At 39.8% G+C, this 24,128-nt stretch overlaps 1 protein-coding gene, 1 long non-coding RNA gene and 1 pseudogene across 5 annotated transcripts in view, besides 5 other annotated features; 2 read left to right on the top strand and 1 right to left on the bottom strand.

Moving 5' to 3' along the window:
* DCBLD2 (discoidin, CUB and LCCL domain containing 2) overlaps positions 1 to 11,969 on the bottom strand; it is a 105,755-nt gene extending 93,786 nt beyond the window's left edge. For 2 of the 3 annotated variants that reach the window (XM_011512419.3, NM_080927.4), the window contains exon 1: positions 11,396 to 11,969. In XM_011512419.3, coding sequence (XP_011510721.1) covers positions 11,396 to 11,600 — 205 coding nt within the window. In that variant the 5' untranslated portion in view covers positions 11,601 to 11,969. Of the gene's footprint in view, positions 1 to 665 lie in introns of all 3 variants that reach the window. The other variant, XM_024453348.2, reaches the window with a different exon arrangement.
* Positions 10,868 to 11,584: an enhancer, noted in NCBI's record as "H3K27ac hESC enhancer chr3:98619438-98620154 (GRCh37/hg19 assembly coordinates)". NCBI's record gives its function as "activates a minimal SCP1, AML or CMV promoter by ChIP-STARR-seq in primed H9 embryonic stem cells {active_cell/tissue: H9 hESC(primed)}" and the evidence as "EXISTENCE:reporter gene assay evidence [ECO:0000049][PMID:30033119]".
* Positions 10,868 to 12,300: a biological region, named in NCBI's record as "H3K27ac hESC enhancers GRCh37_chr3:98619438-98620154 and GRCh37_chr3:98620155-98620870".
* Positions 11,408 to 12,097: a silencer, noted in NCBI's record as "silent region_14562". NCBI's record gives its function as "represses an Ori minimal core promoter by ATAC-STARR-seq in GM12878 lymphoblastoid cells {active_cell/tissue: GM12878}" and the evidence as "EXISTENCE:reporter gene assay evidence [ECO:0000049][PMID:35858748]".
* Positions 11,585 to 12,300: an enhancer, noted in NCBI's record as "H3K27ac hESC enhancer chr3:98620155-98620870 (GRCh37/hg19 assembly coordinates)". NCBI's record gives its function as "activates a minimal SCP1, AML or CMV promoter by ChIP-STARR-seq in primed H9 embryonic stem cells {active_cell/tissue: H9 hESC(primed)}" and the evidence as "EXISTENCE:reporter gene assay evidence [ECO:0000049][PMID:30033119]".
* Positions 12,238 to 12,287: a silencer, noted in NCBI's record as "silent region_14563". NCBI's record gives its function as "represses an Ori minimal core promoter by ATAC-STARR-seq in GM12878 lymphoblastoid cells {active_cell/tissue: GM12878}" and the evidence as "EXISTENCE:reporter gene assay evidence [ECO:0000049][PMID:35858748]".
* On the top strand, positions 12,288 to 15,670 carry LOC105374002 (uncharacterized). 2 transcript variants are annotated; one of them, NR_189120.1, is made up of 3 exons: positions 12,288 to 12,419; positions 12,696 to 12,791; positions 15,167 to 15,670. It is a non-coding gene; the product is annotated as an uncharacterized LOC105374002 (long non-coding RNA). The 2 variants fall into 2 exon arrangements; NR_189121.1 differs by having other exon boundaries at positions 12,288 to 12,791.
* On the top strand, positions 18,733 to 18,838 carry RNU6-1263P (RNA, U6 small nuclear 1263, pseudogene; annotated as a pseudogene).

Consider the following 24,128-nt stretch of genomic DNA (forward strand, 5'->3'; position numbering starts at 1 on the left):
TCTATGGACAGTTTTAACATTTTACTGATTCCCTCATTAATGAATGAGTTGAACAAAATATTTGGTGTGTTTATCTTATATTTGCAAGACAACTGATTTTGCCTTTTTTGCAAATTATAACCTGTAATTGTAGTTCTTCAGTGGGGCCTTGGATCTGCAGTTTTACAAGCTTTAAAACACTAAGGGTAACAACTAAAAACACACAAAACCTCCTTCTACATGGTGTCCCCTCACCACCCCCCATCTACCACCTTTTTCTCACTTTTTCCTTCTTGTACATAGATTTCTTTAGTTGCCTATACTTGATGTCTTCTTTGCCTCCTTTTCTAATGTCAATGCACTGCAATTCACGTTCAAGACTGTTGCGGGTTGAATTGTGTCCCTCAAAAAGACACATGTTCAAGTCCTAATTTTTGGTACCTACAAATGTGACCTTATCTGGAAACTGGATTTTGCAAATGTAATCAAGTTAAAATGAAGTCATTCTGGAGTTAGGGTGGGCCCTAATCCAACAACTGGTGTTTTCTAAGAGGAGGAAAGTTTAGACAGAGATGCAGGGAGAACCACATGTAACCACAGAGGCAGAGACTGGAGTGATATATTAAAAGCCAAGCAATGCTAAGAGTTGCAATCACCAAAAAGCTAGAAAGAGATAAGGATCCTACCTTAGAGTCTTAGGAAAGAGCATGGCCCTCTGCACACCCTGCTGTCAGAATTCTAGCCTCCATAACTGTGAGACAATAAATTTAAGTCAGTTAAGCTTGTGGTACTTTGTTACAGCTGCCCTAGGAAACACACAGATCTACATATCCAATGAAACTCTTCACTAAAGCAGTCAGTTTCTGAGCTGCCAAAAGCCAATGGAGAATTTTCCATCCTTATCTTTTGTTACCTTCTACAGCATCTGGCATTGCTGGCACTTCCTTCTCTTGCTTCCTTCTCCCTTACTTCATATCTCCCCTCCCTCCTTCTTAAATCTCTCCTCCCATGTCTTAATTCCTTTAACCCTCCAACTGCATCTCGCAGACCTTAACTGTATGTAACCTTGTTACTACCAGCTGTTGATGTTGCTATTCTTCAGAGTTCTTTCCCCACTCTGTATTCTATGTGGGCAATCTACTCCTTGACTTCAGTTGTCACTAAATGGAGAAAGCTCCAAAGTCTTCAATCTTATCTATATACATACTAAGCACTTTTGCTCAGAAGTTCCACTTCATTTGAAACTCCACATGTCCTACGCATTCAATGAACAACCTCCACATGTCCAGCAGTGTGCTACTAGGTATTAGGAACAACAGTAAAAATGTCAGACAAGACCCCTGTCCTTACAGAGTTTACAATATAGGGAGTAAGACAAACACAGAGAGTCATTCCAGGGATGATGAGTACTACAGGGAAGTAATGAGTGCTTCAGTGTGAGTGTGAGAATGTGTGTGTGTGTGTGCATGTGTGACAGAGGGAGAGGGAGAAGGAGAGAGGGAGAGGGAGGGAGAGAGAGAGAGAGAGAAAGAAAGAAAAAAGCAAGCAAGCAAGCAAGCAGTTAGCTAGGTAGAAATCCTGGTGAATGAGAGAAGTGGAATGCAGGAAGAGGAAGAAGATTCCAGAAAGAAAAATCTCAATATTAAACTGACTTGGCTCTCTCAAATTTAACTAATCATTATATTTTATACTTTTTATCTCCTTAGCAGTTCTAAATTTAGTCCCTCTGAACAAGTGCAGGCCCTTGCAAAGTTCTCTAATAGGTTTCCCCACTTTCTATCTTTTCTCCCTCTAATCCACTGTCCACACTTCAGCCAGAGTTTCTTAAATACTAACTGGGTCATGTAGGTCCCTTATTTAGAAATCCTTTAACTGTTTTCCACTGATGATACAACGAAGTTCAAATGCTTCAGCCAGGATACAAAGGCTATCATAATCTGGCCCCTGATTCCCTTTCTGGTCTCATCTCTTCACTTTTCCCACAACCTCTTTGTTCCACAGTCCTGAACTATAGGTGACTCCCCACATGCTCCACGCTCTCACCTCTGTGCCACTGCACTTAACATTCCACTCTGCCAAGAATAACGTCCCTCCTCCTTTTATCCACCTAGCAAATACCTACTCAATGTTATTTTCTTTGTGAAACCTTTCTGAAGCTCCTGGTGTTTCTCCCTATTTCCATAATAATATCTTTCTGTACTTAATATGCTTAATTATGCATATTTATGTCAGGTTACCATACCAACCTATAAAATTTGGTTAGAAAGGCAATGCATTCTACTCACCTTTATAAGCATACACACAGAAATAAAACATACAAGGCTCTTAGCACATGCTGTTGAATGAGAAATAAGCCTAAACTAATGTTATGGTAGACAACTAACACATTAGAAAGTACATAGGCTTTGGAGTCCAACAGACTTAGATTCAAATTCTAGACATGCCAGTTTTCAAGATCCTGGACACTTAACTGCCACAAGCTTACATACCCTAACCAGTATACTGGTGAGGATGCAACTACCTCACGGATGAGGATACCACCACCCATCTCCCAAGATAAATGTAAAGGTTCAGTAAGAACTTCTTTAAAATACAGTGGTCTCTTTATAAATGTAACACTCTTTCTCCTAGAAGAGGATGCCTCTGTTTATCTAGTACCCTGCCTTATCCTTCTCTGGAAGGTGCTCTGCAGTTTCCCAACAGTTTTAATATGACCTCATGCCCCCTGGTTATTTGACTGGTCCAAGGGTGGGTACTGAATCACACTGGGTCAATGTGAGGGCCAACTCACCCTTTCCTGGACCTTGTACAATAGGGAAAATACAGAATTTCTCCGTGTTAAAACCGTAAGCCTTCGGGATTGCCAGCAGCCATGATTCCTTCCACAAAGAGAAAGCCAGACTGAAACAAGAGGGAAGAACTAAGCTGAGTCCTTGGTTCCTGAAGTCTAGCTGCATTCCTGCCTTCCCCTCTCAATCCTCCCAATAGTTTCTCCTTCTACCTTAATCAGATATGGATTTCTGTTCTCTATAACCTCAAAAGTCCTAACTAAAACACTCTTCCTCCATGCATGCAAAAGAATGTCCACCTCACATCCAGACCTATAAAGCTGGCTTTTAGGATGCCAAGAGTAGACAGAAACAAAGGTATATCAGGAAAGAAGAGATAAAATGATCTGAGATGGTGGGGATCAAAAAACACTGAAGCACACCAACAGGCAGAAGGCTGAAGAGGCAGAGCAAAGGTCAAAAAGGAGAGCACAGAACTCACATTAAGATTTGGGTGGGCTGGAGACAGTCATGCCTTTCTGCCACATTCCTCTATTGCATGCTCTGACTCCTCTCACTGAGCTGGGGGTGGAACAATAATTGGGGATAAAGGGAAGAGGGATGGAAAAGTGAGTCTTAGTGGAACGGAAACATATAAAAATGGAAATTTTAACTGCAGAGTAAAATGAAACAAAATTTTCTTTGACATATTGATTCATTCATTGAACAAAAATTTACTTGCTACCCAGATTCAATCCCAGCCCTCGTTACAGTCTAAAAAGAAAGATGAGTTACATATTTTAAAATATTTAGAGTAGTAACTGGATGTCAAGTTCAACAAGGCTATTATTTAAATCCAGGTATGTCCAAGTCCAAAGCCTCCAGATTTTCAAAGACCACTGTAGTAAGAAAAAAAAAAAAAAGAAACCAATAATAAAGATAGGCAAAGCTGCTTGGTTTTTCAAACTAAAACAAAAACCAAAACAAACAAAAATCTGACAGTGTAAATGACAGTTTCAGTAAAGCAGAAACAAAACCCTTGCTTTTTTATTGCAAGGGTTAAAAAATAAATTAACAATTTAACAAATATCTGCTGTGTGCCAGTCACTAAGAAAATATACAGCACAAATGTAGATTACCATTTAGAAAGCTCGTCACTGAAAAAAGCAGAGATACAAGGTACCACAAAGCAATGAAAAAAGAGATATGTAAAAGCCAGTGGCATTTTGAGCATGTTTCCAGATATAAAGTAAAAGTGCCATCAAAGTGTAAAGCATGCCAAAACAAAATTCACATTCCCCAATGTAGCAGTGCTCTGATAAAGAGGAAGAGGACAAGGTTTCAGTCAGGAGGAAGTCATACTGTGCAAGGATTAGGAGCAGGGCAGGAGTTCGGCTGTACAAATCAGCTTTACAAAGTGAGATAGTCTGCTAAGCAGTAATCCCCACTTGGGACTTGATTAGCCAGACCTCATTTGTGGCAGATCTAATCACGATGACCACATGACTTAATCTTGTAACTATGAGCTATCCAGAACCAGAGAAAGCAGAGAATGGGGATTATCACATGGGCCCAAGTTTGGGAACTGTCCAAGATCACGGAAAGAGCATTGTTGAGATGATGGATTTGGGGTGCCTGAGTTGAGAAGAGATAACCAAACCTAGTGACAGACAAATGAACCAGGTGAAAGAGGAAGCACCTGAGGCTAATGTCAGGCCTAACATCGCAGATACAAACTCCTCAGTCTGCCCCTCAATGGGAAGTCCTCCACAATACGTTCCAGCCTCCATTTCTCATTACTTTTCTATTACACCAGATTAGTGAAGCTACCTGAATGCTCCCCAGCAACATCCACTGGCAAGAAAAAGGAGACAGGCAACTACGAGAACAAAAACTAGGGGGACTTTTATAATATTGGAGATGCCTATTGAAGTCAGAAGCTGAAAGCATGCAAAGGAGAAAGTGTGCCCAAATTGCTGGCACTGATTTAGGCTGTCACGGTTGTTAAGGATGACCCATCTGAGGGGAGCAGAGCTTTCTAAGAAGTAGGCATGTCTATTTTCAGAATTTCAGCTTGAAGGATTCCTCTCATAGTCAAGGGTGTGCAGCAAAGGAGTCTTCCTCCTGGGAAGAGGTGGGACTGGGAAAGGCTGGGAAGACTGTTAGGCTCTGAGCAAACAGGTAGTAAGGGTCAAGACATGGCTCTGTTCCCGGCTCCTGAACTGACCACTAATTTACGGGGATTAGGCAAAGGACAACAGCATGAAGTGCATGCCGGTGCCAAGGGATGAACCAAATAATGTGCTCAGGGTAGCAGATTAACTCTAGAAATGGGGTTCTTAATTCACATAATTTGAATGACAGACACTATGATAAGTATTAGAAATAAGAAAATGAATAAAACTCTCTCCGCTGGCAGGAATAAATACTTAGAATACAGTGTGGAATGTATTATCCGGAGATGAGTGTGTGGGGACTGTTCGAGAACTCTTCATAAAGGGATGATACCCAAGAAGGGTTTTGAAGGCTGATCGAGAGTTTACCGAGAAGACAAGGAAAGTAAGAGCATTTCAAGTAGAGGAAACTGCATATATGAAGAGGTTAGTATAGGGAACAAGGCAAAATGGCATGAAATTATATCTTAGAAGAATAAAATTAGCTCAGTCTCATATCTGAACTATACAGTGTGAGAAATGCTGGCATTAGATTAAGTCAGAGTGAAAGGGAGGGACCAGACTGTGAAAAAAATTACTTACATGATACGCAAAGGAGTTTGGACGGTATCTTACAGATGATAAAGGGGCTGCTGGCAACACTATGGAAGTCATTAACACAGCTCCAAGAGGAAAATGCCCCAGCATGTGGTACCATGCCTGGCCCACAGTAACCAACCAACGTTTTTCCAATAACTGGGCAGACACAGGGCATGAGTTCAAGAAGCAAACAGTGGAGCATGACCAGAATGAGTTTTGCTACTCATTCTAAAAGGGTGGGCTTTCACACTCCCACTTTCCTGACTCCCCAGGTTATAATCTTATGATCTTACTCTTCAAATATCTGCTGTTCCTTGTGGACAAGAAACCTACCAAACTTCAAAGCTTACCAATCTAAAACCACTTTATCAGTGAGGCGTCTCCTACTTCTCCAGGAGTTGTGAGCTTTTTCTGCCTTATACAACCTTCTTATAACCTTCCTTGATTATTATTATAGTAGGCGTCTCCTGCTTCTCCAGGAGTGGTGAGTTCTCTCTGCCTTACATAACCTTCTGATATCCTTCCTTGGTTATTATTATATATATTCCAACTTGAATTACTTTCTCAAATAGACTGTAGGTTCTCTGAAGACAATAACAATGTTTTACTCTTCTCTGAATGTCTCAGGACTATACTGAGGTACATGCACACTCTCTTGAGAGTTCACAGTTGGTACCCCTTCATACTGATAGTTCTTAATGAGAGAATGATAAAGAGTGCCAATACCTTCTCTTTGATCCCAGGCAATTCAGTTTTGAAGGCAAGGTTGCACACACCCTACTCAACAAAAGCCTTGCAGGGAATTCTGGGCCACTCTCCTTAAAAAGCAGTTGAGGGAACGTGCATCTTGGGATTCTCCCATAATTCAAGCAGCAAATCAAAGTTTTTCTTTCAATTACACACCCATCAGGGTGCACGTTCAGCTGGTGAATGATGTTTTAGTAGCCCTTGGAAATCATGAGTATCTCATCAGCTTCAGTGGGTACTGCACTGGCACTCATTAGATACTAGTTTATTTGAATATCTGTATTTTCTGTCCTCATAGGTTGTACTAATTTAACCCAAATAATGAACTGAAAAATTAGCCTGATATTTGTTTCTAAACTAACATTTTGAACTGAAATACTTTCTCAAAGATTTTTCTCCAGAATGAAGAATTCAATTAAATACAATAACAGCTCTGAACAATACAGTAATTACTTTATAAATACTGAATGTCTTATGATAAAATTTTGCATTTTGAAATTTTTGTTTTACTGTATTTTGTAGGTATGCTTATGTGTGCTAAATTAGCCTATAAGTTAATTTTACATGAACACACTATTAAAATTACAACTACAAAAGATTATGCAGGTATGTGAATATGTAATAGAAAGGAAAGTTAAAAATTATAAGTCGATGGATTAGAAGACAGAAATGTGGATAATCATCTACGTTTTTAGTTTTGAGTAATAATCATTGTTATCCATACAATATTTAAAAATAAATACAAAGTCCTATGGCCGTAAGGTTGTTATAAAGAAAACCGAATCCAGGAGCCACATCAGAAAAATTGCCAAATTGTCTCACTTCATATTTCAACAATCACACTTAGCAAATATCACTATCTTTATGAAGCTTTTCCTCATCCTTCTACTGTTGGGTCATCATTCCATATCCTTCCAAATATATCAAGAAGTGGAAGCAGAAACTGTCTACTTGTATGCATTCAATTAATGTCCAACATTACTACCTGAGCTTCACTTCCCAGTGTCACTTTGCTAAGTGTAGTCCTAAATTTAAATTCTACTCCTATGTAAATCTAGCCCTTTCCCACATACATGATCTATTAACTTTTGGAAATTAATTTGTCATTTTAATTCTACTACTGGTATTTTACTTATGCCAATTCCACCATTTTAAGATATTTTTACATGTTTGTCTTTAAAATGAGGCTCAGATGTTCAAATGGAATTATCAACTATCCCCAGGGAAAATAATATGTTCTTTTTGTTTCTAACACTGAGAAATCTACCTATAATTTACCTGCAATCTTAGAATCAATTTTTCATTTACAAGTTTCAAAAATGTGCTGTTTCAATCTGATCATTCACACGTGTGGATTGTGTGCTGCTTCTAATTTTCATTTTGTAAAATTAATTAGAAATATAGCAGAAAAGGATGCTTTGATTTATTTGCTTCTGAACAAAACTGGATAAGAGCCCCAATGTTTTATCAGACAAAGAAAAGACAATGGAAATTTCTAAATTAACCTAATGTCAATGTGAAAAATAATTACAAATGTTTATTTGCAGAGAGAAATAAGTTTTTATTTTCTGGCAACTCACAAATATTGTTCAAAAATATTTCCCTGCATCACAAGCAAATAAAGGCATTCCTTGACAGAATATAAACTTTTTCACATATTGGTTCCAAATATGTTCAAATAACTGAAACATCCTTTTTAAGAATGAACCTGATTTGTTTCACAGATTAAATTAGCAAAGAAAAACTAATATCTTCACAACATGTTATATATTAATAGGCCCAAACAAATCAGGCTTAATGGTTTTTAAGAATTAATTCCCTGATATTTTACCATGTTCAAATTACATTCTAACCAAGAAAGTAGGCAAGCCTTCCAGGATACAAATGAGGAAGCTGAGCTCCTGATATGAAGTAACCCAAATTCCTACAGTCATAATGGAAACCAGAGACCTAAAATCATAGTAAACCATCAACTTCCAATAAATTTAATACAATAGCAAATATGCTACCAGCATAAGTTTCACCAATTTAATTTTTTTGAGAGGTACATTTTACAGAAAAAAAGTCTTCAATAAAAAAGATTTCGAAGACCAACTTCTTGATATCCAACTTAGAACTCTACACAAATACAAGCCATATGTGAAACATCAACATAATAAATAGAGGTAAACAGAATATATTTATAAATTTATAAGTGAAACAGAACTGGTTAAAATACATCTGTTGTGAAAAGTCGGTAAGTTTTCAAACTAATGATACATTTTATTCGGAGCCAAATAAAAAGAAAGGTCATTGTGAACAGAAAATCTATTGAGGAATAGCTATGTATGACATTAATTGGAATGAAGGTAATATATTCTGCTATTTCAAAATGATGTCAGAAAGAAAAAAGACACTGAAGCACATTTCTACCTCTCCATACTAGATGCATTTCTACCTTCAGTTGTCAAATAAAGAAAAAAAATCTATCAAAGAAACCTTTTTTGCAGTTTAATTTTTATTCTGACTATATGCGAATTACAGAAAATTTAGAAAAGTATAAAGAAATGTCCCACAATTTTACCACCAAAAGACAACAACTGTCAACAGTTTATTTCCTTCCAGTCTTAAGACTTCTTATAGAGTAAAAACTCTACCTTGTAGCTGAACATTACAACATGTACAAATCCCATTAAAAATTCTAAAGGTGTTTTAAACAGACTTCTTTTCAGGTTATGTGAGGGAATATCAGTAGACCCTAAAGAACATCTGTTAGACTGGGAAGACTGGCTTAAAAGGAATTCCACCACGGGCTGCTTTAGGGTCCTTTGAGTAAAAAATTTAATTTTTAAAAATGAGAAAATTCAAATCTCAAATAATTGTGAGTTTTCAGATGATGTATACCTAATTAGCTCTTAATTTATCAACTTAGTAAGATCGAGATTAGTAATAATCATTTATAGCTATTTTAAGCTTTTCCCTTTGCAAAATTCCTGCATACTATCATTTCATTTATATTAAGCTATGAGATAGGTATGCATGCTCACCTTAATGATGTAGAAAACTGAGGTACAAAGAGATTAAATATTAAATGATTTAGCAAAATTTACCCAAGCAATTTAGAAGAACTAAAAAAAAAAAAAGTCTTTTAATTATCAGAATCATTTCTATTTATGTTGATGTTTACATAAGATGACACTGTTAAAGAGAAATGTATTTGTTAAAATGTTCTGGTAAAAAAAAATTATATTAAACCTTAAAAAATGAAGTAATGTTGCTTGTCTGATTAGACTGGCTATTTCTTTTTCTTTTTTTTTTTTTTTTTTTGAGACAGTCTCGCTCTGTCGCCAGGCTGGAGTGCAGTGGCGCGATCGCTGCAACCTCCGCCTCCCGGGTTCAAGCGATTCCCCTGCCTCAGCCTCCTGAGTACCTGGGACTACAGGCATGTGCCACCATGCCCGGCTAATTTTTTGTATTTTAGGAGAGACGGGGTTTCACCATGTTGGTCAGGATGGTCTCGATCTCCTGACCTCGTGATCTGCCCGCCTCAGCCTCCCAAAGTGCTCGGATTACAGGTGTGAGCCACCGCGCCCGGTAGACTGGCCTTTTCTAAAAACAAGGCAATCCCTCATTTGGAAGGTAGACATGTAACTGATTCTATACTGTTCCAAGATTTTTTTTAATAACATGATACAAACACTATCAGATCCAGAAACAAGCAAAGCAGAGTACTCTGCCTATGGAGTAATATGCCCTCCTGCATCAAGGTACCTTATATTCTTTGTGTCTCAATGTCCTTACGTTTGAACTGGGATAACAATAACTATCTCAGCTGATTGTAGTGAAGATTCAAGGAGTTAATAAACCCAAACCACTTAGTCCAGTTGTTCCAGCCACAAAGTAAGCCCTAAGTGTTAGCCATATATAAGCCTGTTTTCCCCCCTACCAGGAGGGAAATACATCTCTACAGTGGAAAGAAGGATTTCACACTTTAATATATTAAATGATGATGATGTTCAGTAATTTTAGAAGACGATCTAACTAAAACCTAAATGCTAAGCATCTAAATTTTGAGTTACTCTATATAGAAACGTGTCTAGATGTAAGGGGTCAGTTTGCCAAATACATTTTTTCCTTATAGTTACAGAGATTATATTTCCACATGCCTGTCAAGGTTCGGCATCTTCTTAATGACAGGCCATGATTCCATACTTCACTGAAAACCATGAGAGCAACATAAAGCTGGGCTTAAAGGCAGAGAACAATTTTCTTTTTAAAAAACTCTCTTCCTAGCAATAAGTAACAATCCAATCCTTATCCTTCCCACTGCAATAAAATGGAAAATGCAATGGAAATATCTTTTCAAAAACTGATGCCAAACTGATTCAAAAAGTGTGGTACACTACGGGAAAACAGTACTAAAGGGGAAAAGAAATCACCCTGCATTCTCCTTCCATTATGATAAGTATTTAATAAACAGTTTTGCCTGTTTCTGGAACAGGTTTTTCAAGGATTGTAGGTGGAAAAAAAAAAAAGTTTTGTCACTTTCTGGAAAGGCTTACCTTTTTAATGTGGAGAGCTTCACTTGGGCAAATTAGCATAGCGTTGGGTCAGACCCAGTGTTTGACCAAGGCAGTCTAGACCACCAGCCTCAATGATGGATTGTAAAGAACATGTTCTGAATCCAAGACTCAGAGATAAGCAGAAACTATTCCATTCGCTTCAGAACCCGGGCTCTTTCACAAAGGATCATAATTACCACCACTTACCTTTAATAGGCTTAAGATGCTATTTAATTAACCTGCCTTCCTACAGTGTCCATCCATCCGTGCAGCTTAACTTTAGGGGTCATTACCTCCAAAGGTTCTTTTTCCTCCCCAAAATTTTCCCCAGAAGGACCTAATATCAACGAGGCTTTCATAGCAGGGTCTCACGTCCCCCTTTCAGAAAAATAAATGGCCTTGCCAAAAAGTAAAGCCGCGCCAACTTGGGGGACAGACGGGCAAGACCTTGCCTTTGCAACTCAACCCCGTGAGTACCCAGCCAGGTCCGGCCACGCACGAAAGCGCACCGCGCCTCCCTGCAGCGTCTGCAGATTTGTTCAGGGGCCAAGAGACCCGCAGCCCCGACGGAGGTTCCCCCGCCGCTCACTCCCCTGGGACCACTCACCTTGCTGGGCTCCAGCGTCCTCGAGCAGCAGGAGCAGGACAAGTAAGAGCAGGAGGAACAGAGGCATGGAGAAGGAGGAGGAGTTGGAGCAGGGAGGGAGGGAGCGGGAGAGGGGGAGCGCGGCCCAGGCGGGGGCGGCGGCCGCGGCCCGGACTTGGGGACACTGCGGGCAGCGCCTGGCTCTCACCACCGCCCGGCTCGCCATCGCGGCGGCCGGCAGTCTGCCTGCATAGTGCGGGTGCCTCGGCAGCCCCGCGCGCCTCTGGCCGCGGCACCCGACCAGGAGACGGCGGCAGCGGCGGGAGAACAAGAGGCAGCCCTCGCCTCACCCCGCGCCGGGACCCTTCCGCCCCTCACCCCGCTTTCACCTACTCCTCCTTCGTCCCTTCCCTCCGCTCCCCGCGCCGAGACCCCAGGCCGGAGCGCAGGGGAGGGGAGGGAAGGAAGCGGAGTCCTCGAGCCGCGGAGGACGGCCGCGGCGGAGCTAAGGAACGTGCCTCCCGCGCCGCGCTCCTCACCAGGGTCGCCGCTCGCCGCGCTCACCCGCGGCTCCGGCTAGCTGGCAGGCAGGCCCGCAGCCAGCTCCCTCGCGCTCCCTCTCGCGCGCGCCGGCCACGCCCCCTAGGCACCGCGGCCAATCCTCGGCCAGCTCTGGTCCGTCTCCTTCCGCGAAACCCAATCAGCATGCTCGCTCCTCGCTCGACCCGCTAGTTCTCCGGCCCATTCCTCGAGCTCCACCGCCCCTTACCTCCCTCTTCCAATCCCCTTCGGCCTTTGGAGGCGTCCCACCCGCCTCCTCCAATCCAGGTCCCGCCCTCCAGCTTCGGATCCCCGCGGCCCCCGCCCGGCCCGGGCGCCTGTTATTGTTGGGCCCTCAGCCCAAACTGATCCCGCAGAGGCGGCAGCCAGCTCGTCAGTGACTTCCGGGACGTCCCCCATCCCGCGCTCCCTGCTCCTCAGGCCCAGCTTGCTCCTTGCTCCTTTCTCCTCGCTCCTCCGACGCACATCAGACCACTGGAAGGGGGTGGGAAACCTGGATCCTGGGTTGTTTTAGCTGGGAGCTGAGTCTAAGGGACTTTTTTTTTTTTTTTAATGGCAGAGCGTGGCTTGTTTTGTTAAAACTGCCGCCAGTTGTTGCAACAGCTCCGAGTTAGAATAATAGATGCAGTGTTCAGTTTTTAATATATGTGTTCCCTGTTTTCTCTGCTCTTTTTATGGCGGGGGGTGGGGGACAAAAAAGTGTAAAACAAGATCCGTGCCGCAAAGGCAATTTAAACCTAACATCCCAACCTTCATGCAGCCATTCTACAAGGAGTTGTTGAGCACCTGCTGTCTATCTACAGAAATCTTGAAATGTGGAACAGAGATGGAAATATAGCATGCAAGTCAGAATGAAGTAAGTGCTAATTAGAGTCACAAGCAGTTTGATGGAGACTGTAAGCCTATGGAACGACAAAAAGAATTTTAGGAAAGAGGAATGCAGAGGTCTACGCAGTGATTTATTTTAGAAGAGAGTGGCCATGTAGGATGTTTTTAACAGCAGTCCCTGAAAGGACAATGGTGTCATTAGCAAATACAAAAAACTGCTAAGGTGGAACAAGTTGTGTGGGAAAGTAAGTTAATTTTGGACGTATTGAATTTGAGATGCCAACTTAGATAATAAGTGAAGCTATGTAACAGGCAGATGGATATTTTAGTCGAAAGCTCAGATTGAGAGCTTTGAAATTATGGCTCTGGGAGTCATACATAGCCATACATGTATACATATACATATGTATACATAGTCATACATAGATGTGATATTCAAAAACATGGAAGGGACTGATATCCTTCAATGAAAGTCTAAGTTGGAAAGGACTTTGGAGGTCGTATGTTTCAACTCCCCTGCATATTTCTTATACAATAATCTCTTTAACCAAATTTATTCAATTAACATTTATTAAATGCCTAAGAAACCCTATTATGCTCTAAGCCATTGTGGGCATTGGGCATAAAAAGTTTACTGAGAAGAACTTACATTCTGGAGGAGGAGGTGACATGTAAACAAACCTATTGTTATTAGTGCCCTGTTAGAGGTGTGGACTGGTGCCACAATACCACAGTGAACGGAGTTCAAAAAAACCCGTCAGTTTGAAATGCCAGTGTCTTGAATAAGAAACTAAAGTGAAAAAGGTGATCTCAGGCCAGAGGCAAAATAGGCTGGGTCACAGGCTCAATAGGGAATGGTGTTGATGGAGCTGGATTGACTACTGCTGACGTAATGGGAGGAACTGGAGACTAGTCTGGAAAAGTTAGGAGGGGCAAGATGTAAGGCAAGCTAAGAGTCAAGATTTTATTTTGTATCACTGGAAAATAACTAAAGGGTTCTAAGAAAGAATGACATTGTCAGTTTTTTTTTTGTTTTTGTTTTTGTTTTTGTTTTTTTTGAGATGGAGTTTTGCTCTTGTTGCCCAGGCTGGAGTGCAATGGCATGATCTCGGCTCACTGCAACCTCTGCCTCCCGGGTTCAAGCGATTCTCCTGCCTCAGTCTCCCTAGTAGCTGGGATTACAGGCATGTGCCACCGCACCCGGCTAATTTTGTATTTTTAGTAGAGCCGGGGTTTCTCCATTGTTGGTCAGGCTGGTCTCGAACTCCCGACCTCAGGTGATCCACCCGCCTCAGCCTCCCAAAGTGCTGGGATAACGGCGTGAGCCATCGCGCCCGGTCATTATCAGGTTTTTATTGTAAAAACCCCAATCAGCCAGTAGGGTGAGGAATACATTGGTGTAAGAGCAAGACTGGAAGCCAGGGAGAGCCAGTCTGCAGTTAAAGGGAGTGATGGTGAGTTTTTAGTGCATTAAAAGTGGGCTTGGGAAGGCGGGACCAACTAGGGGAATATTTTTAAACTTGGTGACTGATTATGTGGAGTGTAAGGAGTTGAGGAAGTCTCCAGGTTTCTGGTAGAAGGTGATGTCTTTCCCACAGTAAGGAGTACAAGAAGGAGAATTGGTTTGGTTGGATAAAGAAGTAGAAGTTAAAAATCATAAATTCAGAATTGAACCTATCAGACATGATGTGCTAATGTGGCAAGCAGTCAGTCATGAAATAAGATTTCTAGTAGTAGTGCCTGAGACAACCTATTTCATGTGGAATCACTCCTTTCATAGGACCATTGAAAGAGAAGCTTGAGGTCACAGATGTGGTGGCAGAGCAAGGTAGTGTGAATCTTAGCCTGGCATTCTATTGACTACATAGAACTGTGGCAGAGGCAGAGAATTCACCTAAGAACTAGCACAGTTATGGAGCATTTCTGGAAGAGGCAAAATTTGGTCTCTAGCAACCCCTACCCCTTTAATATAGCAGGAAAAGATCCCGACTACATACGTGTAAAGCAAGAGGAAGGAGCACTTACATTTCTCATCACTGTTTTACTTACTGTCTAGTGTTTTAAAGTTGTTAAAAGTAGAGACTAGAGAGGTGAAGAGGTTCTGAATTAGGTCACTGGCAGGGAAAAAGAGAGGGAGGTGGGAGCAAGTTGGAGTTATATTTAAAGCAGCAAAATCAGAAGGTCTTAGTGACTGATGCCATTTGACTATTTCTGTGTTATTTTATGCCTCAGCTTCCGGAGTTTCGCTTTGGAAGACAGGGTCTGGAAGTCTGGCTAGAGAACATTTGTGGTGCCCCCTATTGCTTTATGTATATAGAAAATTACAAATATAGCACAGATGTGGGAGAGGATTGATGCTGTTGCACCCATATTCTCTCTTCTGATTATTGTCTCTCTACTTAGTTGCCAAACAATGACAGAAGGCTGCTCTGAAATGATCAAAATTTTCTCCTGGGACCTCACACCAAAGGAATATAATAGGCATTCATTTCTAAGACAATGCGGGTAAAGTGGAATTCTAGTTTATATTACCTTTCTTATTCTCTGCATGCTGCTCTAGACAACTTTGTCATGATCCTTGCTTCTGGGGACTTGGTTTGTTTGGGGAATGACATCTTATGAGGCAGTGGGAGCAATACTTGTCCAGGACCATTTTACCCATGCAACCCAGATGCATAACCCAGGGGCAGAACTGGGGATTCTAATCAAGTCTCAAAGTGGATAGGTTTGGAGAGGGCCATCATTGTAGCACATAGAGGCTCCAAGAAGCTACAGTTCCTCCACAAGGCAAGCCCAGGTTCTGGCTTCTTTTTACAGGGTTTCAAAAGTGTGTATTATTTTATTGTATTTCTGGTTGTTTACTCTACATTAAGATATTTAAAAATAAAAATAGATTCTCAACCTAAATTTTAATTTTTTATCTCTCTTCCTCTTTTTCTCATTCTTTATTTCATGTTTCTTAATCAGTAAAGAATGGAAGAATAGGCCGGGCGCGGTAGCTTACACCTGTAATCCCAGCACTTTGGGAGGCCGAAGCGGGCGGATCACGAGGTCAGGAGATCGAGACCATCCTGGCTAACACAGTGAAACCCTGTCTCTACTAAAAATACAAAAAATTAGCCGGGCATGGTGGCGGGCGCCTGTAGTCCCAGCTACTCGGGAGGCTGAGGCAGGAGAATGGCGTGAACTCGTGAGGCGGAGCTTGCAGTGAGCCGAGATTGCTCCACTGCACTCCAGCCTGGGTGACAGAGCAAGACTCCCTCTCAAAAAAAAAAAAAAAAAAAAAGACCGGGTGCAGTGGCTCATGCCTGTAATCCCAGCACTTTGGGAGGCTGAGGCGGGCAGATCACGAGGTCAGGAGATCGAGACTATCCTGGCTAACACCGTGAAACCCCGTCTCTACTTAAAATACAAAAAATTAGCCGGGTGTGGTGGTGGCGGGTGCCTGTAGTCCCAGCTACTCGGGAGGCCGAGGCAGGAGAATGGCATGAACCCAGGAGGTGGAGCTTGCAGTGAGCCGAGATGCACCACTGCACTCCAGCCTGGGTGACAGAGTGAAACTCCGTCTCATTAAAAAAAAAAAAAAATGGAAGAATGAAGAAAATCAAATTAATCTATAGGGAAAAGGGGAAATATAAAAAGAATAGTTACATTTTACTATTCCTACTTTCAAATGAATCCAAGCTCAGCCAACTGCTAAGGAAATTAGAATGTAGGAAAAGAACCTGGGGGCTGGTGCCTTTGTTTCTGTCTGTGCAGAAACATCTGGGTTTCAATGAAATGGTACCGTAAGAATCATTTGGCACCCATCATTGCTATTAAATGTCTGTTAGCATTAATGAAACAAAAGAGGCTCATTAAAAATGGCATTTATACTGGAAACCTTAGGAGGATGGTATGTAATGAATCATTGGTGAGCTTTATCAGTGACTGTGTATTTTTGGCAGGATAACAGAAAGAGGGAATGAACAAGAATGTACTTTTGTGATCTTCCAGTGGGGTAGGAGAGAAAGAAGATTGTGGCAGTTCTGGGGAAATACTTCAAACATCAAAGACCAGAGCCTTAAGATCTGGTTACTGTTCTCACAGGAGCATTTTCTTTGTCCTGTTGACTGTTTGGGAAAATGTTTACAGCCAACTTTGCTGCTAAATGTCTGAATTCCGCTGAAGACACTTTCTTTCTGTGAACAGAAGTGTTTTGGACACATTTTTCTCTTTATCTTGTATGCTTTTTTCAGTTACTTATTTCAGTCAACTCTCCTAAGTTTATTACTCATATTTTCTTAACACTTATAAACTTTTTAAAAGATATTTGTTATAGCAAATTTAAGGCAAAAGTGCCAGAAATCTAATTTATTATAGAAGGTATTTAATTTCTGCCAGTGGATGATAATGTTAAATATTTCTCTTAAAAGATTAACATTTGTATATATCAGCAACATGACTAACTTTTAGCATTTTCCATTTGCATCTTCATCTACTGCAACCATCTTACTCTCTTTCTCTCTCTCCATCTCTTGCCCCAGTCTCTCTCACACTCTTGGTTTTTCTAGGAACTTTAGGAAATTAACCAATTCATTTTCTTATGGGTCATGACAAGAAGAAGGCTTCAGTCTAGTATTTTATCTCTGATGGAGATTTCAAAGGATTTTAGTAAAAGCATGTGAAAACTGCCTTCCATAACATTATTATCATGCCTAGAAATTAGGAAATTAATTATACATGGATGGTTAACATAGCAGTAAAATGTGAATAGTGACCATGCTAGTATATCTGAGATAATATGATTTAGGTAACCTGCAGGCCTCCCCTGCTATATGCCTGTATCCTTTCCTGTGGGACTTTTGCTGGCAACGCAGTTGAGAATTAGATGTACAGAGTTGAAATGCTCTTTGGATTCTGAGAAATTAAGTTTTGTGAGATAATGGAAACAGCCCTAGATAAGACTCTTGTATACAATTTCTGCTTGAAAGTGCTATATAACCTCCAGCAAGGCTCCTAATCTCTCTAGACCTCAGTTTCCTTGCCCATAACAGAAAATGATGGGATCCTATTCTAAATCTGAAGTTTGATAATACTTCCAAATTTTCTTTATTCACATCTCCCTTTCACCTCACGTCAAATTCTAAGTCTTCAGTTCCCAGATTTCTACCTAATGAGGAGGGAAAAGAACCAAACGCTGATAACTACAGAATTGGTCTCTGGGAAATAATTGTCTTTGCTGAACACCAGTGCACCTTAAAGGGTGTGTTTGATTTGGAAAATAATCCTCAGGTCCCCCAACTGCATCCCAGCAATGTCTTAATGAATGGAGGCTATATGAATAGCCCCAGTTTTATTCTGTGAAAGAAGCGAACAGAACCTTGGACAGGCAGGGTAACCTTTTCAGAGAGGAGATGGGGCCAGGTCAGAGGAAATAAAGCTGGTTAGCAACTTGGCAGGAAGCTGGAGCTTCAGAGATGTAAGAAATATAATTTCCCACTCATTTCAATGCAAAGATGCTTTAAAAATAGGGATATCTAATAAATAATTTCAAGGTGTTTGCTATATATGCTATACTGTAATCTTCCCCTTGCCTTCCTCCCAAACTCTTCATTAAGTTTACTACAATCACAGCCTTGATTGGGGGAGACTTTGGGCACTGTGAGTGGAGGACATGCCTATTTCCACATAAACAAGGGCAGCATCAGCAGGTGGTGAAATGAAAGCATGGATCAAGGATTCAGAGGAAGCAGAAGACTACTATAACTAGAGATTTTGAGAAACTTAAATCTTCACGCCACTCCCCACTCTCTTGACAAGAAACTAGGTTCCCATCCCTATATAAGTCAGGATGTTTGAACCATAGCAAGCTAGAGGATTTGGAATCGTCCAGGCAAGTGACATCTTTCACACTAGGATAAGCAAATAATAATATAATAATTCAAATTTTTATTTTCTAAGAACGAAGAGAATAGAATTGAAATTGGGTGCTCACTTCGGTGGCACATATACTAAAATTGGAACAATACAGAGATGATTAGCATGGCCCCTGCACAAGGATGGCACGCAAATTTGTAAGCATTCCATATTTTTCAAGTCTGCAAAATAACCAGCTACCATCATGATGACAAGATCAAATCCACACATAAAAACACCAACCATAAATGTAAATGGGCTAAATGCCCCAATTAAAAGACACAGAATGGCAAGCTGGATAAAGAACCAAGACCCATCGGTATGTTGTCTTCAAGAGATCCATCTCAGATGCAAAGATACACATAGGCTCAAAATAAAAGGATGGAGGAAAATTTACCAAGCAAATGGAAAACAGAAAAAAGCAGGGGTTGCAATCCTAGTTTCTGACAAAATAGACTTTAAACCAACAAAGATTAAAAAAAAAGACAAAGACATTACATAATGGTAAAGTGTTCAATTCAGCAAGAAGAGCTAACTATCCTGAGTATATATGTACCCAATACAGGAGCACCCAGAATCACAAAGCAAGTTCTTAGAGACCTTCAAAGAGACTTAGACTCCCACACAATAATAGTGGGAGATTTTAACACCCCACTGACAATAGTAGACAGATGATTCAGATAGAAAATTAACAAAGATATTCAGGACCTGAATTCAGTTCTGGGTCAAGTGGACCTGACAGATATCTGCAGAACTCTCCACCTAAAAACAACAGAATATGTATTCTTCTCATTGCCACATGGCACTTACTCTAAAGTTGACCACATCATCAGAAGTAAAACACTCCTCAGCAAATGCAAAAGAACTGAAATCATAAACAGTCTCTCAAACCACCATGCAATCAAATTGGAACTCAAGATTAAGAAATTCACTCAAAACCACACAACTACATGGAAATTGAACAACCTGCTCCTGAATGATTCTTGGGTAAATAATGAAATTAAGGCAGAAAACAAGAAGTTCTTTGAAACTAATGAGAATGAAGAAACAATGAACCAGAATCTCTGGGATACAGTGAAAGCAATGTTAAGAGGAAAATTTACAGCACTAAATGCCCACATCAAAAAGCTAGAAAGATGTCAAGTTAACAAGCTAACATTACAACTGAAGGAACTAGAGAACCAAGAGCAAACAAATCCCAAAGCTAGCAGAAGACAAGAAATAAGCAAGATCAGAACTGAAATGAAGGAGTTAGAGACACAAAAAACACATTAAAAAAAATAAAATCCAGGAGGTGTTTTTGTGAAAAAATTAACAAAATAGATAGACTGCTAGCAAGACTAAGGAAGAAAAGAGAGAAGATTGAAACACAATCGGAAGTGATGAGGGCTATCACCAATGGCCCCACAGAAATACAAACAACCATCAGAGAATACTATCAACACCTCTATACACATAAACTAGAAAATCTAGAAGAAACTGATGAACTTCTGAACACATACCCCCAATCCCATAACTGAACCAGGAAGAATTCAAATCCCTGAATAGACCAATAATGAGTCCTGAAATTGAGGCAGTAATAAATAGCTTACTAACCAAAAAAAGTCCAGAACCAGATGGATTCACTTCATAGGCACGAAGAATTGGTACCATTTGTACTGAAACTATTCCAAAGAATTGAAAAGGAGGGACTCTTCCCTAACTCATTCTATGACATCAGCATTAACCTGATGCCAAAACCTGGCAGTGATAGAACAAAAAAAGAAATCTTCAGGCCAATATCCTTGATAAGAATCAATGCAAAAACCCTCAATAAAATACTAGCAAACTGAATCCAGCAGCACATCAAAAAGCTTATCCACTATGATCAAATATGGAACCCAAAAAGAGGCCAAATAGCCAAGACAATCCTAAGCAAAAACAAAGCTGGAGGCATCATGCTACCTGGCTGAAAAATATACTACAAGACTACAGTGACAAAACAGCATGGTACTGGTACAAGAACAGACACATAGACCAATGGAAGAGAATAGAGAACCCAGAAATAAGACTGCACGCCTCCAACCAGCTGATCTTCAACAAACTTGACAAAAACAAGCAATAGAGAAAGGATTTTCTATTTAACAAATGGTGCTAGGAGAACTAACTGGCTAACCATATGGAGAAAATTGAAACTGAACCCTTTTCTTACACCATATACAAAAATCAACTCAAGATGGATTAAAGACAATTGTAAAACCCAAAATTATAAAAACCCTAGAAGAAAATCTAGGCAATACCATTTAGGACATAAGCACGGGCAAAGATTTCATAAAGAAAATGCCAAAAGCAATTACAACAAAAGCAAAGATTGACAAATGGGATCTAATTAAACGAAAGAGCTTCTGCACAGCAAAAGAAACTATCATCAGAGTGAACAGACAACCTATAGAATGGGAGAAAATTTTTGCAAACTACCCATCTGACAGATGTCTAATATCCAGCATCGACAAGGTACTTAAATAAATTTACAAGAAAAAAACAAGCTCATTAAAAAGTGGGCAAAGGACATGAACAGACCCTTCTCAAAAGAAGACATGCGACTGGGTGCAGTGGCTCACGCCTGCAATCCCAGCACTTTGGGAGGCCAAGGCGGGCAGATCACGAGGTCAGGAGATCGAGACCATCCTGGCTAACATGGTGAAACCCCGTCTCTACTAAAAAATACAAAAAATTAGCTGGGTGTGGTGGCGGGCACCTGTAGTCCCAGCTACTCGGGAGGCTGAGGCAGGAGAATGGTGTGAACCTGGGAGGTGGAGCTTGCAGCAGTGAGCAGCTGAGATCGCGCCACTGCACTCCAGCCTGGGCAACAGAGTGAGACTCCGTCTCAAAAAAAAAAAAAAAAAGAAAGCTCAACATTACTAATCATTAGAGAAATACAAATCAAAACCATAATGAGATACCATCTTATGCCTGTCAGAACGGTTATCATTAAAAAGTCAAGAAACAACAGATGCTGGCAAGGTTGTGGAGAAAAAGGAACACTTTTACACTGTTGGTGGGAGTGTAAATGAGTTCAACCATTGTGGAAGACAGTGTGGTGATTCCTCAAAGACCTAGAGGCAGAAATATCACTTCACTCAGCAATCTCATTACTGCGTATATATACCCAGAGGAATAGATCATTCTGTTATAAAGATACATGTGTGCATATGTTCATTGCAGCTTTATTCATAATAGCAAAGACTTGTAATCAACCTAAATGTCCATCAATGATAGACTAGATAAAGAAAATGTGGTTACATATGTACCATGGAATACTGTGCAGCCATAAAAAGGAATGAGATCATGTTCTTTGCAGGGACGTGGATGGAGCTGGAAGCCATTATCCTCAGCAAACTAATGCAGGAACAGAAAACCAAATACCACATGTTCTCACTTATAAGTGGGAACTGAATGTTGAGAACACATGAACACATAGTGGGGAACAACACACACTGGGGCCTGTCGGAGGGTGTGGGTGGGAGGAGGGAGAGGGTCAGGAAGAATAGCTAATGGATGCTGCACTTAATACCTAGGTGATGGGACTATCTGTACAGCAAACCACCATGGCACACATTTACCTATGTAACAAACCTGCATATCCTGCACAGGTACCCCTGAACTTAAAATAAAAGTTGGAAAAAAAGATATTTAAAAGGAATGTTTTTAATATTAAAAAATAGAAATTGGGATTTTTTAATGCATAGATCTCTTCTTTTAACCAGCCTTTTTGAATCCTTTAAACTGTAAGATATTTGTTTAATAAGTTAATAGACTAGGAAGCAATATTTTAAATAATAGCAAGCCTTTGGAAACTCACTATTTAGCAGGAATACTTAAGATTTTTAAAACAAAGAAATGTATCATCTTCTTTTTATCACATTCACAGACTAGCTATGTTCGCCTACCTAACACAATAAGATATAAATGAGATGAAGAATATATTATACATTTTCATTTAAACAAAGCTTTTTATTTTTGTCATTCTATTAACCATGGTTTGTGAAATGATAGATTGTGGACTAAGAGAAATAATATATTATTCAGATTAACCTTACTTTCCATGAGCTTCTGCATTAATAATCAGGTTTTAATATAAGTATTACATTTGACTGACATACACTATCATTTTGTTCATAGTTAACATACTGCACAAAAGTGAAGATGTGAGAGATTCTTCTGAAGGATTGATTGCAGACAAAAATAATTCCTAGGAGAGAAACAAAGGAGAATATAATTTCCCTGACTTAGCTATTTTTTCTTTTAATTGTAAAAAACTGTACATGCCTAGTGCTTATACAATTCTGAATTTAAAAGAACGATTTTTAAACCACATATCTGGCATTATTTATTGGTGATCTCTCTAAATCAATGCTTGATTCCAAAGATATGTAGATTCATTTTGTGAATATAATCAGTATATTTGATGCACATTGCTTATCCTACTGCGTTGACCTAAGTGGAGGGTAAGAGCATGGCCTTCATAAAAATCATAAATTACTGAGTCACAAAAAGTCATGTAGTAACAAAATTCATGGATTTCCTTCTTATTTGGGACCTTATTTGGAAGGCACTCAATTATTAACAGCCCCATCTAATGACAAAATCTATTTGTTTAGCTGTTTGATTTGAAATATTAAGCTTTTTCCACCTAAAATCAATTACCAGACAAAAGTTAATTCAGGATTCACTTTAGTCTTTTTGTCGTTTACTATTATTCTCATATTAATAAATAACTAATATTAAGAAAGTACATCATTATTACAACATCAATATATTCACCCATAGTTATATTCACTCTAGATACTGTTAATCATATATGTATGCAATTAATTAAATCACCTACAAAATAGTATGCTCACCAGAAAGCCATGATGAATCAGTCCTCTGATTTTATTTTAATAATAACTACAACACTGTGTATAATTGAAATTCTCTCCAAGTGAACAAACTGACACAATCATTCATGCATTCTTACTGCAGCCATCAATTTAGACAAATTATAGTTATACATGGCCCAGAATGAAATGTTTAACACCATCTGTGCCCTAATGGAGAGAAAATGAAATGAACAAGCCATGTTTGAGTATGTGTTAAAATATTACACTCAAATCCCATCTGTGATCAAATTTTCTCTTCTAAAAGTTATTTCTCAACTTATATATTATATATTATGTATATTATGCATTTAAACAATGTAAGTTCTTCTTTATCAAGATTTTTTTCCTGGTCTTATAATTTTCATAATTGTGGGTCTAATTTCATTCTGTTATGTAAAATAAACCCCACCTTTATTTTTCCAACCCAAATGATACCAGAGGTAGCTAATATTAATGAAAGGTAGAGTGAGTAGCCGCTAAATATCTTCTTTTAAAAATTGCCTTTATGGACTTGATGTAGTTAATAAATGATAAGAAACTATTTTGGAGAATATAATATGAATTGT

This window comes from Homo sapiens, chromosome 3, assembly GCF_000001405.40.
Source record: "Homo sapiens chromosome 3, GRCh38.p14 Primary Assembly".
NCBI classification, from domain to species: domain Eukaryota; kingdom Metazoa; phylum Chordata; class Mammalia; order Primates; family Hominidae; genus Homo; species Homo sapiens.